Source organism: Homo sapiens, chromosome 4, assembly GCF_000001405.40.
Source record: "Homo sapiens chromosome 4, GRCh38.p14 Primary Assembly".
Lineage (NCBI taxonomy): Eukaryota > Metazoa > Chordata > Mammalia > Primates > Hominidae > Homo > Homo sapiens.
In genome coordinates, this window is record NC_000004.12 from 71,591,138 (window position 1) to 71,604,080 (window position 12,943).

The window sequence follows — 12,943 nt, forward strand, 5'->3', positions numbered from 1 at the left end:
TTGACCCACTTCTCTTCATATCTGTAGAAAACATGGAGAAACATTATCGCAATCCCAGGAGAAGAAGAGTCCTGCTTATCTCCCTGTCTCACATCTGCTTGTGATCTCTTAGTTGAGTGCATTTTTTCCATCTTTATAACTTACATGTAGAACAAATTAAGGCAAAATTAGAGAAGTATCCAAATCCATTAATTTTACTAATTGGAACTATTAACATTGTAGGTTGCTAATGTTTTTCTCCTTCTGACTATAGAATCCAGGTTATTCAGGAATAAAGATTGTGGATGTGTGTGTGTGTGTGTGTGTGTGCGCACACATGTGCATTCAGGAAGTAGACAGCTTATTAAGAAAGAAAAAATCAAGATGATCAGCAAGGCACTATTCCTATTTTTAGAGTTAGGAAAGTTCTGTGATTAGATAGAGGCTTTAAACCTTAACTCAGAAGTTAGAACTTCACAGTCCCCTTCTACTTCTTCCCACAAGAGTGGCTGAGAGAAGTCTGCATCCCTTCTTGAACAACTTTCAAGGAGCCCAGGGATGTCTTGCACATGGTAGACACTTGATAAATATTTGCTAAATAAGTGAATTGTTAAATGTATATATAGCCAGTTCACTCTTCCCATGTCTCTTCTTACTCATAGGAGGTTTTAAGAATGGGCTGTGTTTCAGAATTATACAGTCAGACTAATTACACATATTTATGATTGGATGCTAAGATTAATTATTATAAATTCCAATCTTACTGCTTCCTAGAATAGCTTGTCATAAGATCAGAGTGATCATCAGAGTGATCATCATGAAGCTGTGATTCAATCCAAACAGCGTGGAGTCAGAGTCTGGCCCTTATTCAATAATCCATGTGAGATATCTACAAAAAACAGGGTAAGGAACCTGAGATTGGCAAGGGGAGGTGTATTGTTTTAGTAACATGGTCAGAGAAGGCTTCTTTGTTGGGGAGCATATGAGCAGAGACTCAGATGAAGTGTGACCTCTGCTGCCTTCTCACACAGAATGCACTATAAGGTCATTAACCTATTATCAGTTTCCATTTTATCTGTTATCTTTCAATTAGATGGCTCTCCTATCTCCCTCAAGATCCTATTCTGGCAAAAAAACATAGCTTCAGGCATGGGTACCTGTGCTGTAACCTACTTTCATGTTCTCTCTTCTTATTTATATGAGTCCGTTGCTCCCTCCCTCATTCATGGAGGTAGTCATGCTGACCTGTAGACTAGTCTCACAGCACCCTCAACAGGGATATTAGGAAATAGATAAATGAATTTAAAGTATGATCCCAACAGACTCACATGAGTGTCATGATAACAAGAAAATGTACAAAATGTTTTCTTGATCAGGACCACAGATAGATGACATAGGAAGAAGGCAAAGTCACAATTCAATGACTTCATGTTTCTGTCCAAGGGCACGTTGGACCATGCCGATCCCATATATCTTGTGTGGAATGGTGTCCACACTATAGGACTCTGACCACCCATCCAGAGTTAGAGGCAAGAAAAATGCGACAGAAACAAACTGGGTATCTCAAACAGGCAACAATTTCCCAAGAAAAAAAAATATTTAAAAACTAAGATGATCAGATTTTAAACTAGTTTGGGTCTAAAGCGGAAGGGAATGTCTGCGTAGAGCTCTATAGAGGCATGTCATTTCTTTTCTGAAGTGGGCAATTTTAAGATTAGTTAGGGCAAGACAAGTAAACTAGTATATTTCAATAGTTCCTACCAATAAATATTTGTTTAGCTCCTGCTGTGTTAGGAGACCTTTTATTAGTGAGGGGCTCGCAATCTAGTGGGAGAAGATAAATTTGACTGCAAAAATGCAGGAAGAGCTATTACCTTATCTCTCTTCTAGCTTAGGAGTCTGGGAAAGCTTCCCAGCTTTGCTTATTATTCCAAAAAGCAAGCACAAGTTCCAGGTTTCTTAGCCCACAAGTCTGCTAGTATACATGACATCTAAATGTAGATCTTGAAATTTTCATGGTCTATTTCTAAGCCTGTTGCCATTATTAGAGGCTCCCTCTTTGCCCACCTCCTCAAACACTTTCCCAACAACAACCTCCTCCCCCAGCTGAAGCCAAACTACCATACCCTCTCTTTGATTGTAAAATTTCTAGTGAGAAATGAGATTTACTGTTAGTTAAGCTTCTTCCCAACCTATGTTCAGGGACTCTACTGATCAATTACCTTTGTTCTGCTAGAGAATTTTCTTTAAGTTTCCTCTGTAATTTCCAGAACTAGAGGTGCTTAAAAGTGACCAAGTTGTTGGCTCTCTTTGTATCTCCAAACTTAAAGGAGAGTGCTGTATTTGCTTTTCAAAGCAAGTTGAGAATTGACATCTTTGTGATGTTGATTCTGCTAAGAGGAAGATGGTATACCTTTCCAAGTATTCATCCCAGCCCATTGTTTCTGACTTGTAGGGTTTCCTTCCAAGCATCAATGATTATGTGTGGCAAGACAATAAGGACATCTACATGATTTATTACTCATATTTTCCACCATTGAAGTCAGCTTGGGAAGCAACAACTTGGCAGGACTCAGAAGGTCTGTTTCCCTCCCTTTGATGCAGAGGTTTTAGGTAACTCTTATACTTGTCATATCCTTTATCTTTATGATATCATTCTTGTTCTCCATGGCAAACCACCCCCTAAATCCGGCTTAGATCTCACTTACCTCAAAGTGGAAGGAATAGATATTTCTGACTCTGTCTCTAATAAATGTTTATTTCATTTGCATGTGGTTTTCTCACTATGGGGCTGTTACAATAAGGAGTTGGTACTAGGGCTGGGGTGACTATGGGTTGAGATTGTTTAGTGTGACTTTGACAGATCCTTAACTCAGCTTGGTCTGTTCTTAACTATTGTGATTAAAGTATATGAATGATTCTAGATCCTGCCTGCCTTGTTTTATCTATTTTCCCTAAGTTCTGACTGGTTGGCACACTGCCACCTGGATTTGTTTATTCAACTCTTTCTATTTATACTGTCTGGTGTTAAATTACAACTTCTATCATATAGATGTCTCCCCTGACATCTTCCCACAAATTGCTGGCCATCTGTGATTAACTGTAGTGCATACTCTCTATTGTTACACCCAAATGTAATTGAATTAACAATCTGAGCAAATGCCATATTTTAATATAGCCAAACACAATTATATTAATAATTTAAGGCTAGTCCCTTGAAATTTTTAAATAACTAAACTTATAACACATTTGAATAATTTGACTCTGTTAACAGGTGCATAGTGTAGTAGAAAAAGCCCTGCTCAAGGAGTCAGTCAGGCTTGCATTTGACTTTCATCTCTGGCAGTTATTATCTGTTGCTTTGGAAATTTAGACATATTTCTTAAATTTTTTGAGCCTTGGTAATATCTTCTGTAATGGAGAAGAATAACAGAGACTTTATGCATTGGAATTGAATGGGAAACATATGTGAGAGCACCTTAGTGCCTGACATTGCAGCTAGTACATATAGGCAGTTGGGTGTATGGATATTGGTGTCACCCTAGGCTTTGAATCCTGGAAATGCTATCCAATTGTTATGTGACCTTGATAAAGCTATTTATCTTCTTTATTTCTCAATGCCCTCCTATATTAAATGGGGATAAGTTTTCCTGTCTTAAAGGGCTGTTCTATGGATTAAGTAATATGATGAAAGTAAAGTGCTTAGCACAATACCTAGCAAGTTAGTAAATGTTCAATACCTGTTTGCTCTGTTAATATAAGCTATTTCATAACTATTAATAGTTGTGCAAGAAGTGAAATTACATATAAATTTGACAAAGGGAAGCTTCTCTCTGTAAAATAAAAGTCCTTTGAAACAAAAACAGTAGACACTGTGCATTATATGACTATTAAAAAAATAGGCTCAATTAAACAGCCTAATCCATGATCACAAGCCATTGTATGAAGAACTATCAACAAATCTTAGAAAAATCAGCACTGAAAGAGAATCTTTGGAGTTTGTTTACTTTCAGTCTTGCATTAAGATGAAACTGGGACTTGTATATAGATGATGTTCAAATAATATTTGTAAAAGGAATTCTTTTGTATAGCATGTGGATATTTGAAAGAGTTTTAAAGGAATTTTTCAAAATATATCCTTATTCACCATGGGTTGCATGTATCAGGACATGATGCTTTTCTTGGCAAAAAAAAAAAAAAAAATCCAAAAATGTTATCATTCCATAAATGACCCATGGAAAGACTAATAATGACTATTTTCAAGTGAGATACCATGGTATACAGGTAATGTTTTTACAAAATTATCTGAATATATATAACTTTTTTCCTTTTTGAGAGCATATTATTTTCTGGGAACATTATTTTTCTGTGTTTGAACACTAATGAGGTGAATAGATGCTATGTAAAAAACAATCTCAAAACTCTGCTTTGTGTAGTCTGAAAACAGGAAAAACCTTTAAAAGACCTCATTATCTCAGCATTCTGTTCATGAAAAACCACTGTAAACATTGATAAATCTCCTAGTTTTAGAAATATTACTTGTTAGTTGCACTTATAGAGAACAAATGGGTCTTGTAGTAGCATACTGATATCTCTATTCAACACCCTTTTGTCTTCCCGACTCTAGCCCTAGGGAGAAATGCTCCTATCCAGTAGCTTCTGGTAAGTATTGAACAACCTACTCTCAGGAAAATAAAACATCCCTGGTCTGTAGCATATGCTTTTTTTCTGTTGTGTAAATATTTCCACCATCTGGAGTTGGACAAAAGATACAGTCAACTCCAGCAAGCTGGAACTGGCCCATCACTACTCATATTCCCTAGCAAACATGTGACTCTTGTGGGGTTGACATTTGCAGTACTTGAGACAGAATGCCAGACACAGGAAAGAGACACGAACAATCCTGTGCCCAATCCCTTTGCCTCAGGTATTGGTCCAAAAGTGGACATGTGACCCAGTTTGGATTAAAGGCTTTATAACAAATTTAATATTTGAAAGCTGAAAGAATTTCCTTCTTTGTGCTTGAATAATGAGCCGTGATATCACAACTTCAGAGCTTGTTGGGCCTTTTTATCCATGCATGGTGTAGAAGAGAAGGAGGCCCTGCAGACAGTGGAAGACATGAGAGATGGTTGGAGAGAGAGAAAGGGAAGGGCGAGGGGAGAGAGCAAGCAAGTGAGCACATTTTAAATATCTTTTACAGCTACATGAGCCAAAATTTCCATTAGTTGCTTAAGTTAACTTGAATTCAGTTTCTCTGACTTGCACTTAGTACATATATGCCATAGTCAAACAAGAGATTAATATTAGAATGATGACTTAGAAGAATCATGATTTATATTTGAAGATTTTTATAGCAATTACCATGAATTTTATTTAATATTTTAAAAGTTTTTTTTTTTGGACTGGAGTCTTGCTCTGTCACCAGGCTGGAGTGTAGTGGTGCAATCTTGGCTAACTGCAACCTCCACCTCCCGGGTTCAAGTGGTTCTCCCGCCTCAGCCTCCTGAGTAGCTGGGACCACAGGCGCGTACCACCACACCTGGCTAATTTTTTGTATTTTTAGTAGAGACAGGGTTTCACTGTGTTAGCCAGGATGGTCTCGATCTCCTGACCTCGTGATCCGCCTGCCTCAGCCTCCCAAAGTGCTCGGCCACTGCGGCAGGCCAAAAGTTTTTTTTTTAATGTGTATGGATTGACTAAGATCACATGCTTTGTATGACTTTTGAAGCCCCATTGTCCTATTGTCCCTTAAAAGTTGGTGATTTAGTGGGCCAAATGGCTCTCTCTCTCTGTCTTTATCTCTCTCTATATATAAATAGATTTTTCATCAAAATAAAGACATGCATGTATAAAATCTTTACAAAACATAATCTCAGGTGCCCCAATCTGAGTTTGAGACATACTGATCTAGAGCAATGATGGATAGCGATAATAACTACATTTTATTTCAAAAGGCAAAGACGAAAACAGCCCTTCCACCTTCCACCATGAGATGATAAAGCACTAAGCCCTCACCAGATGGGGGCCGCTGGATCCTGGACTCCTCAGCCTCCAGAATAATAATAAATAAGTCTCTGTGTTTTATAAATTACCCAGTCTCAGGTATTCTGTTATAGTAGCCCAAAATAGATTTACTGCCAGAATCAGTTAGATTTGCTACACAATTAGTTAGATTTATCATTCTAAAAATTTTCATGAATGCCTCATGTACATTTTTGTTTATGAAAGAAGCTGCCACAAGGATCTAGTTATTGAGCTGCTGTCACCTCATGGTTCAGAGCATTGGCTGGGTTTACATCTGCATTTTGGCTCAGCTTTTCCTGACTGTGTGATCTTGGGAAAGTATTTAACTTTATAAAAATTAATTGTTGCATGTCAAATGACAATATTTGCATTTTAGAGTGTTCCTATTTTTTTGCGTCTGCCCTACAAGCCATGACAGCAATTTTTCCTGGAATCTTCCTTCCTCTAACCTGTCATCCACATGGCTACCCTGGAAATTGCCAAGGTGGTAAAAAAAAAAAAAAAAAAAAAAGAGTGAGTTTTCCACTCTCCAGTCTACCCATTTACCTGTACTGGGGCTTTCCCTTTCCTACCACTGCTGTCTGTGGAGGGTCAAATGTCCTATGCTCTATTTGGGGGCACTTATGAGTGTCCTGCCTAATGATAATGACAGTTCCCATGGAGGTTCTGCAAAGTCTTGAGGCATAGACAGATACTAATATGCTGGACAGTTCACTATCATCAGTGGAGGCCACTGATGGTGGCAGCTGTTATCCGCCCAACGATGACGACAGCCACTGAATGGTTTATTCTGCCAAAGTAAGGACGGTTTATTATCCTAGCTTCCACTCTGCTCCCTAGTGCTGGCCACTTAGTGATGATTGGCCATATTTTCATGGTAACTCTTCCCTTTTGTCCCTAACTCCCCTGTGATGCTTTAGGTCTGAGGATTCCGCCCTCTTCTGAGGTTTTGGCCCCTTCATTTCCTTTCTTCTCTCTCAGTGCAGATAACCTTCAACAATTTTCCTTCCAGGTATAGGAGTTGAGGTTATTGCCTTCCCTTTTTCAATTTTAAATTTTTGTTATGTGATCTCTTTGTCCCACTCCCTTCAGGGATTTTCTTTTGAGTCTCAAGAGACTGGTTAGAAAACATTAGAAACAACAACAACAACAACAACAAACCCAACCAACCAACCAACCAAATAACCAACAACTAAACCAAACCAATAATGTAAATGTATTTTTTCTTTTCACTTCTCTTGTAGAAAAATGGTAATGCTTCTGTGTTCCTCTGACTTACTGGAGAAAAGGTAAGAGCGTATGAAAGAAAGTAAAATCAGAAAGACTGGCACTTCAAGATCTTATTTCCTTGATGTAACAGAATCCACCCATGAACACTGTTGGTCTGATGCTGGATGTCTGAGTTAACTTTGGCCAATTGTGGTTCTTTTCCAGGAATATTAGAATTGCAACTCAGAAAGCATAGCCTTTTGATAGGTGTTAAAAATTTAAGATGTAAAACTTGAGAGTTATTAATGGTCTTGTTTCCTGTCATATACACAGAGAACTGGAGGAAATTCACCTACAGACAAAAAAAGAAAAATAAGGGAGACTTGAAAAGAAGAAGAGAGGCGACAGACACAGTAAGGAACTTGACAGCATTTCCTCTAGAACTCGATGCTAGTGGTTTCTGGATTTCAACTACATTCTTATTACTGGGTTTTGTGAGTTGCATTTCTGTCACTTGTGACCCAGTGTCTTACAACAAATATACCCACTTCACAGGGTTTCTACAAAGTTTAGGGACAATAAGACCTTTCAGTCTCTTAGTATAATGTCTCGCACTTAATAAGCATACAGAATGTTGCTGTTATTATCACAGTTTGCTTTATGATATCTGACTTATAGTTACTAAGATTTCCTATCACTATTCATGTTTTTCCAAGATAAAATGATTTCCTCATTTACCATCTGTTTTGTCCACGTTACAGTTAAGGAATCATGCCTGTTCTTTATCACCACTACATGCTCTTAGGCACCATTACTTACTTAGTGCAGTGTCTCACACATAGTAGGCATTATGATGATTTGTTCAATGAATGCATTTGGGATATAATGGTGTAATAATTGTTTAATTTCAGTGACTTAAGAATAAACAAACAAAAATATCACTCCTGTTGCCATATATATTGAAGTTAAAACTGAAAAGTAGTGAAAAAATTTGATTTTTTCTTGAAAATGTTTGATAAAACTTCTATTGAATAAAGGGTTCTTTGGTTTTGTATTAATTCTGAAAACTGAGCTACTCTTGCAGGTTTGAAATTTCTTTAATAAAATGCCACATATAAGGCGATCACATTCTAAACTTACATTAACTAATGGAGAAAGAGCAGCTGTACTTGGGATTAGTGTGTTTGGGGCGAAGGTGCAGAATATCATCATTTTACAAAATTTGCTACATGCCTTTTACTATGCATTCTGTCTTTTTTTTTAATATAGAGATTTTAAAAGATAGTTCAAAATGCCTGCTTTGTTGTATGATTTATGATAGGGAAATGAGCATTTTTCTAGGAAAGCATGTTAATATTAACTTTTACTATTTGAGGGAAACGTTGACTTAACAAAGGTGCTTTCCTAATGACTTACCTGACTTGACATTCTTTTGTGATTTAGTACTGTGAAAGTTACACATTATTAATCGATAAGTTTTGTAGCTTTCTCTGCGACTCCAGTGTGGACACAAAATATCTCTGAAGTGACTTCAAACTTGGCCTTTTTCACTTCCTTTAACACAATTCCATTCAACTATTACTCTTTTCACTAAAGTTTTGTTTGTCTCTCTTTTGGAAAAAAGAATATCAGGCTGTTTCCTAATAAAAGTCTTAAATAATAAATTGTACAACTGTAAGGAAAAAATCATGTTTGACCTTATCTGAAAACAGATGGAGAAGATCCATAGTTTAAATCATGGAATGGAAGAAAAAGAACTGGCTTTGAAGAAATCAAAGTTTGTTTTGTGCTGTTTTTGCTTGTCATGGATGCTTTAAGAAGCTACTGAAAGTTAAGAGTCCTCTCCCTAGAGGAAACTATAAATCAATACACACAAATTCTTTATGACATTTCAGAGAGTTCACAACATGCTGAAAATCTTCTATGAATTCTGTTAAGAACACTTACTCTCAAGAAAAATGTGCAAATAGTAAAGATTATTTAATACTTAACTAAGTTGCTTTCCATGAAAATCTGTTTAAATGGCCTTTGTTGTTTTACTTCTGAACTAACTTAATATCAGTTTGCTGAAATACTGAGATACTGAGGGCACTTTCTGGTTTAAGTGTTTAGAAGATATGTTTGCTGCGAAATGCATGTGCATTCATATTACAAATCCTGCAACTGAGGGAAGCGTCTGCTCTGTCTGAAATAGTTATCGCTATAATAGAACATGTTTCATAATTTGGGGTGGGGAGAATTGAATTACAAAGAGTTGGCTATATAGGATTAGATGAAAAATTCAGTTTAAGTTCATTAATCATAAGTAAATACACTGAAATGCTCTAAGCATTGTCCTCTAACATCATAAAATTGAGATGACTTACTCTTTATGTAAAATAGTAACTTAAGAACAAAAAAAATGGCCTGGGGAAATGTGTTACAATTTCTGTCTTAAACATCTCAAAAGTCAAAAGTCTTCTGCTGGTGGCAATTGGTTCATACATAGTTTGCCAGAGTGTTTAATCCACAGGATCATCTCAGCCCATCTAACACTATTTGTTTTTAAAAATATGAGTGGATACCATAATAGATAATGGCTTTTTGATGCTTTCCTTCACTAGAGTAAGGTTAGAGCAAAAATGTATTTTTTATATATTTCCATAAGATGCCTCTAGCATGGATACTGGTAATAACTAGTACTCTCTGGTGTTACAATGTATCATTTCTGCTGAAGTCACTTCCCTATCTCTATGTATTATAGAATTTCAAAGTACTCTGTTCTTGTGGACTTTACAGAGGTAGAAACAGTTTTTTTTTTTAAATTAAAACAGTTTTAGGCAATATACTGAAACTTGCCTGAAGGATTCCTTTGAAATATTATTTCTTATTTTCTTAGAAGGTAGATATTGTGATTTTCTGGAGAATTTAAGACTGGCATCCTGAAAAATGTGACCAATGAGTGCTATGTTGATGTCAAGCCACAGTAACTCAGTTGCTTGTGAATGTTTGTATGTCCATCCCGGCCTCCCATGGGTTTTGGATAAAATTTCTGCATATGCTGTTAATGGTGACTGGCTCTTCAGTATATTTCAATGGTCACTCTATGCTGAAATTTAACTGTGGGTTACAGGAAAATAATTAAAATATTTTTTCGCAGTACAGTTTCTCTTATCACTCTTACGGACAACTGGGGCTCAGTCTTACTGGAACCCTCTGAAAAGCCATGTGAATTGCCACTCAGAATTGTCTCTTGGAAAGACCAAGGAGGAGAAGAATTGAAGAATTACCTACTGACTTCTATTCCCCATTAATGAAGGCTTGTCCCATGGCTGTTAAATCTTTTGAGGTCCAGATTATATATGCATGTGTGAACCATGCCAAGATGTCAGGAATGTACCAGGGAATATGGCACAGCTGAAGTAAGGAGTTACCAGTTTATACCTCTGTAAAGTCCATTGCAACATCAACTACTAAAGTAAAAAGTAGGCAGAGAGGATATAAAGTAGGCACAAGAAATATTCAATCCCATGGCAAACATCGCCTCCCACCTACCCAATCCCACCATTATTATTATTGTTATTAAGATCACCAATATCTTAATATATAGAAATGGCTTATTGAGAACTTTTCACAAATGTTTATAATGTTCTATGCAGAAACAGTGTACTATCACATTTATTCCTAACTTCTGGAACTGAGCACATAATTTTATTATTTTAAGTATGTTAGGGGCTTGTATATGACCTATATAATCAGAAATGTTATTTTAACTATAAAATCTGTTCATACATTCATGTTAGCAAACATTTATTGAGTTCTCACCTAGTACTAGAACTATGTAAAGTGCATAGAAACACTTTAGAGTTTAAAAACAGTCTTAGAAACAAGAAAATTATCTGGTATTTCTCCTGAGGAGCTCAGATAAAACCTATGAGATTTATTGATTGTGAGCAATAGAAATCTGCTGTAACCTAAGGAAAATGTAATTTATGGGAAAAACATAAGAGAATCATAGGCTTGAGAACTAGTATAGAAAGAGGCAGCAATCAAGGAATCTCCAGACAGTAGAAAGGGAAACATGGCCTAGTCTCATAGCAAGAGCTATCAGGTCAGCAACTGCCAGTGTGATGGATGATTCATCTCCAACTGTTTCTTTTCTCCTTTTATAACTCAGTCAAGATTCAAAGTCCCAGAAGACAGCGCACGACTTCCCAAGCTTGGGTTTGTTCCTGACTGGCCACAGGGGAGAGGAGGCTAGCTTACTTTGATTTTTTTTTATAGAAGATCCTCTCTCCCACCCAAGACTATCCACAGCAAAGAAGAAGCAGTTGTGTATTAGTCAGCGTTCTCTAGGACAGAAGTAACAGGATAGAGGAATGTATGAAAAGGAGTTTATATAAGGAGAGTTGACTCACACAATCACAAGGCGAAGTCCAACGATAGACAATCTGCAAGCTGAGGAGCAAGGAAGTCAGTAGTGGCTCAGTGTGAGTCTCAAAACCTCAAAAGTAGGGAAGCTGACAGTGCAGCCTTTAGTCTGTGGCCGAAGCCCCAAGAGCCCCTGACAAACCACTGGTGTAAGTCCAAGAGTCTAAAGGCTGAAGAACCTGGAGTCTGATGTTCAAGGGCAGGAAGCATTCAGCACGGGAAAAAGATGAAGGCTGGAAGACTCAGAAAGTCAGCTCATTCCACCTTCTTCTACCTAGCAGCTGATTGAATGGTGCCCACCCAGACTGAGGGTGAATCTGCGTCTCCCAGTCCACTGACTCAAATGTTAACCTCCTCTGGCAGCAACCTCACAGACACATCCAGAAACAATACTTTGCATCCTTCAATCCAATCAAGTTGACACTTAATATTAACCATCACAAGTGGTAAGTTAGATATGTCTTCTATCTGCTCCTGAGGGCCAACGGTTAAAATTTTAGAAGTCCTATAAGCTGGTTGTTATATATAGATATTATTTAAAATTTATATTAATTTGCAATTAAATAAATTATATTAATAATAAAGGTAATAAATACTCAAAGCTTTTCACTTCCCAAGTTATGTTAGGATTACTTATGTTCTTGAGGTTATTTGCATTTTCATGGCTGAATAGTGGAAATGCGACACATCGATGTGTTACTGCACATCTCTTCCCTGCTCTGTGTTAGTGTTCAGTGATATCATGTTGGCACTTTGAAATCAGCCAAGGTGCATGCTTTATACTATAGAAATTCACAAGCACTACAAAGTACAACTTGGTTTATTGCTTTGTTGATGGTCTAGACTTAAGAAAATGATGGAGAAATGTAAATCATGCAAGTTAAACTTGAAAGTGTATTATATTTGTAGTCATTACATTGTGACTAGTACAAAAAGTGAGGAAATATTCTTCCAGTGTTAAAATACTATTATCAGATTCAGCAAGGAATCTGTTTGTGTGATGAACAAAAAAGTTCTGATACAGGTCTTAGTTGTTTCACTTTGCCTTACTCACTAACATAAATGAAAATATCAACCAGCCTTTCAGTCAGAACTACACCCCTTCATCACCTACAACTCTAGTTTGCAGAAATTTAGCAAAATCAACAAAAACACTCTGTGAGAATTAATTGGTTGTGTAGAATTTAAAATGAAATTAGATATTTTATTATTATTTATAAATTATCTGTTATATGTTCTTGATATGAGTACATGTATAATATAATAAAATAATACACACACACACACACACACACACACACACACGGAGAACCAGTTG

The 12,943-nt window shown here is 36.8% G+C and overlaps 1 long non-coding RNA gene across 1 annotated transcript, besides 1 other annotated feature; it reads left to right on the forward strand.

Moving 5' to 3' along the window:
* Window positions 1,918-2,627: an enhancer, noted in NCBI's record as "OCT4-NANOG-H3K27ac-H3K4me1 hESC enhancer chr4:72458772-72459481 (GRCh37/hg19 assembly coordinates)". NCBI's record gives its function as "activates a minimal SCP1, AML or CMV promoter by ChIP-STARR-seq in primed H9 embryonic stem cells {active_cell/tissue: H9 hESC(primed)}" and the evidence as "EXISTENCE:reporter gene assay evidence [ECO:0000049][PMID:30033119]".
* On the forward strand, window positions 2,378-7,633 carry LOC107986285 (uncharacterized). The gene is made up of 4 exons (XR_001741716.2): window positions 2,378-2,558; window positions 4,607-4,641; window positions 7,251-7,295; window positions 7,549-7,633. It is a non-coding gene; the product is annotated as an uncharacterized LOC107986285 (long non-coding RNA).
* Window positions 7,634-12,943: the final 5,310 nt, after the last annotated feature.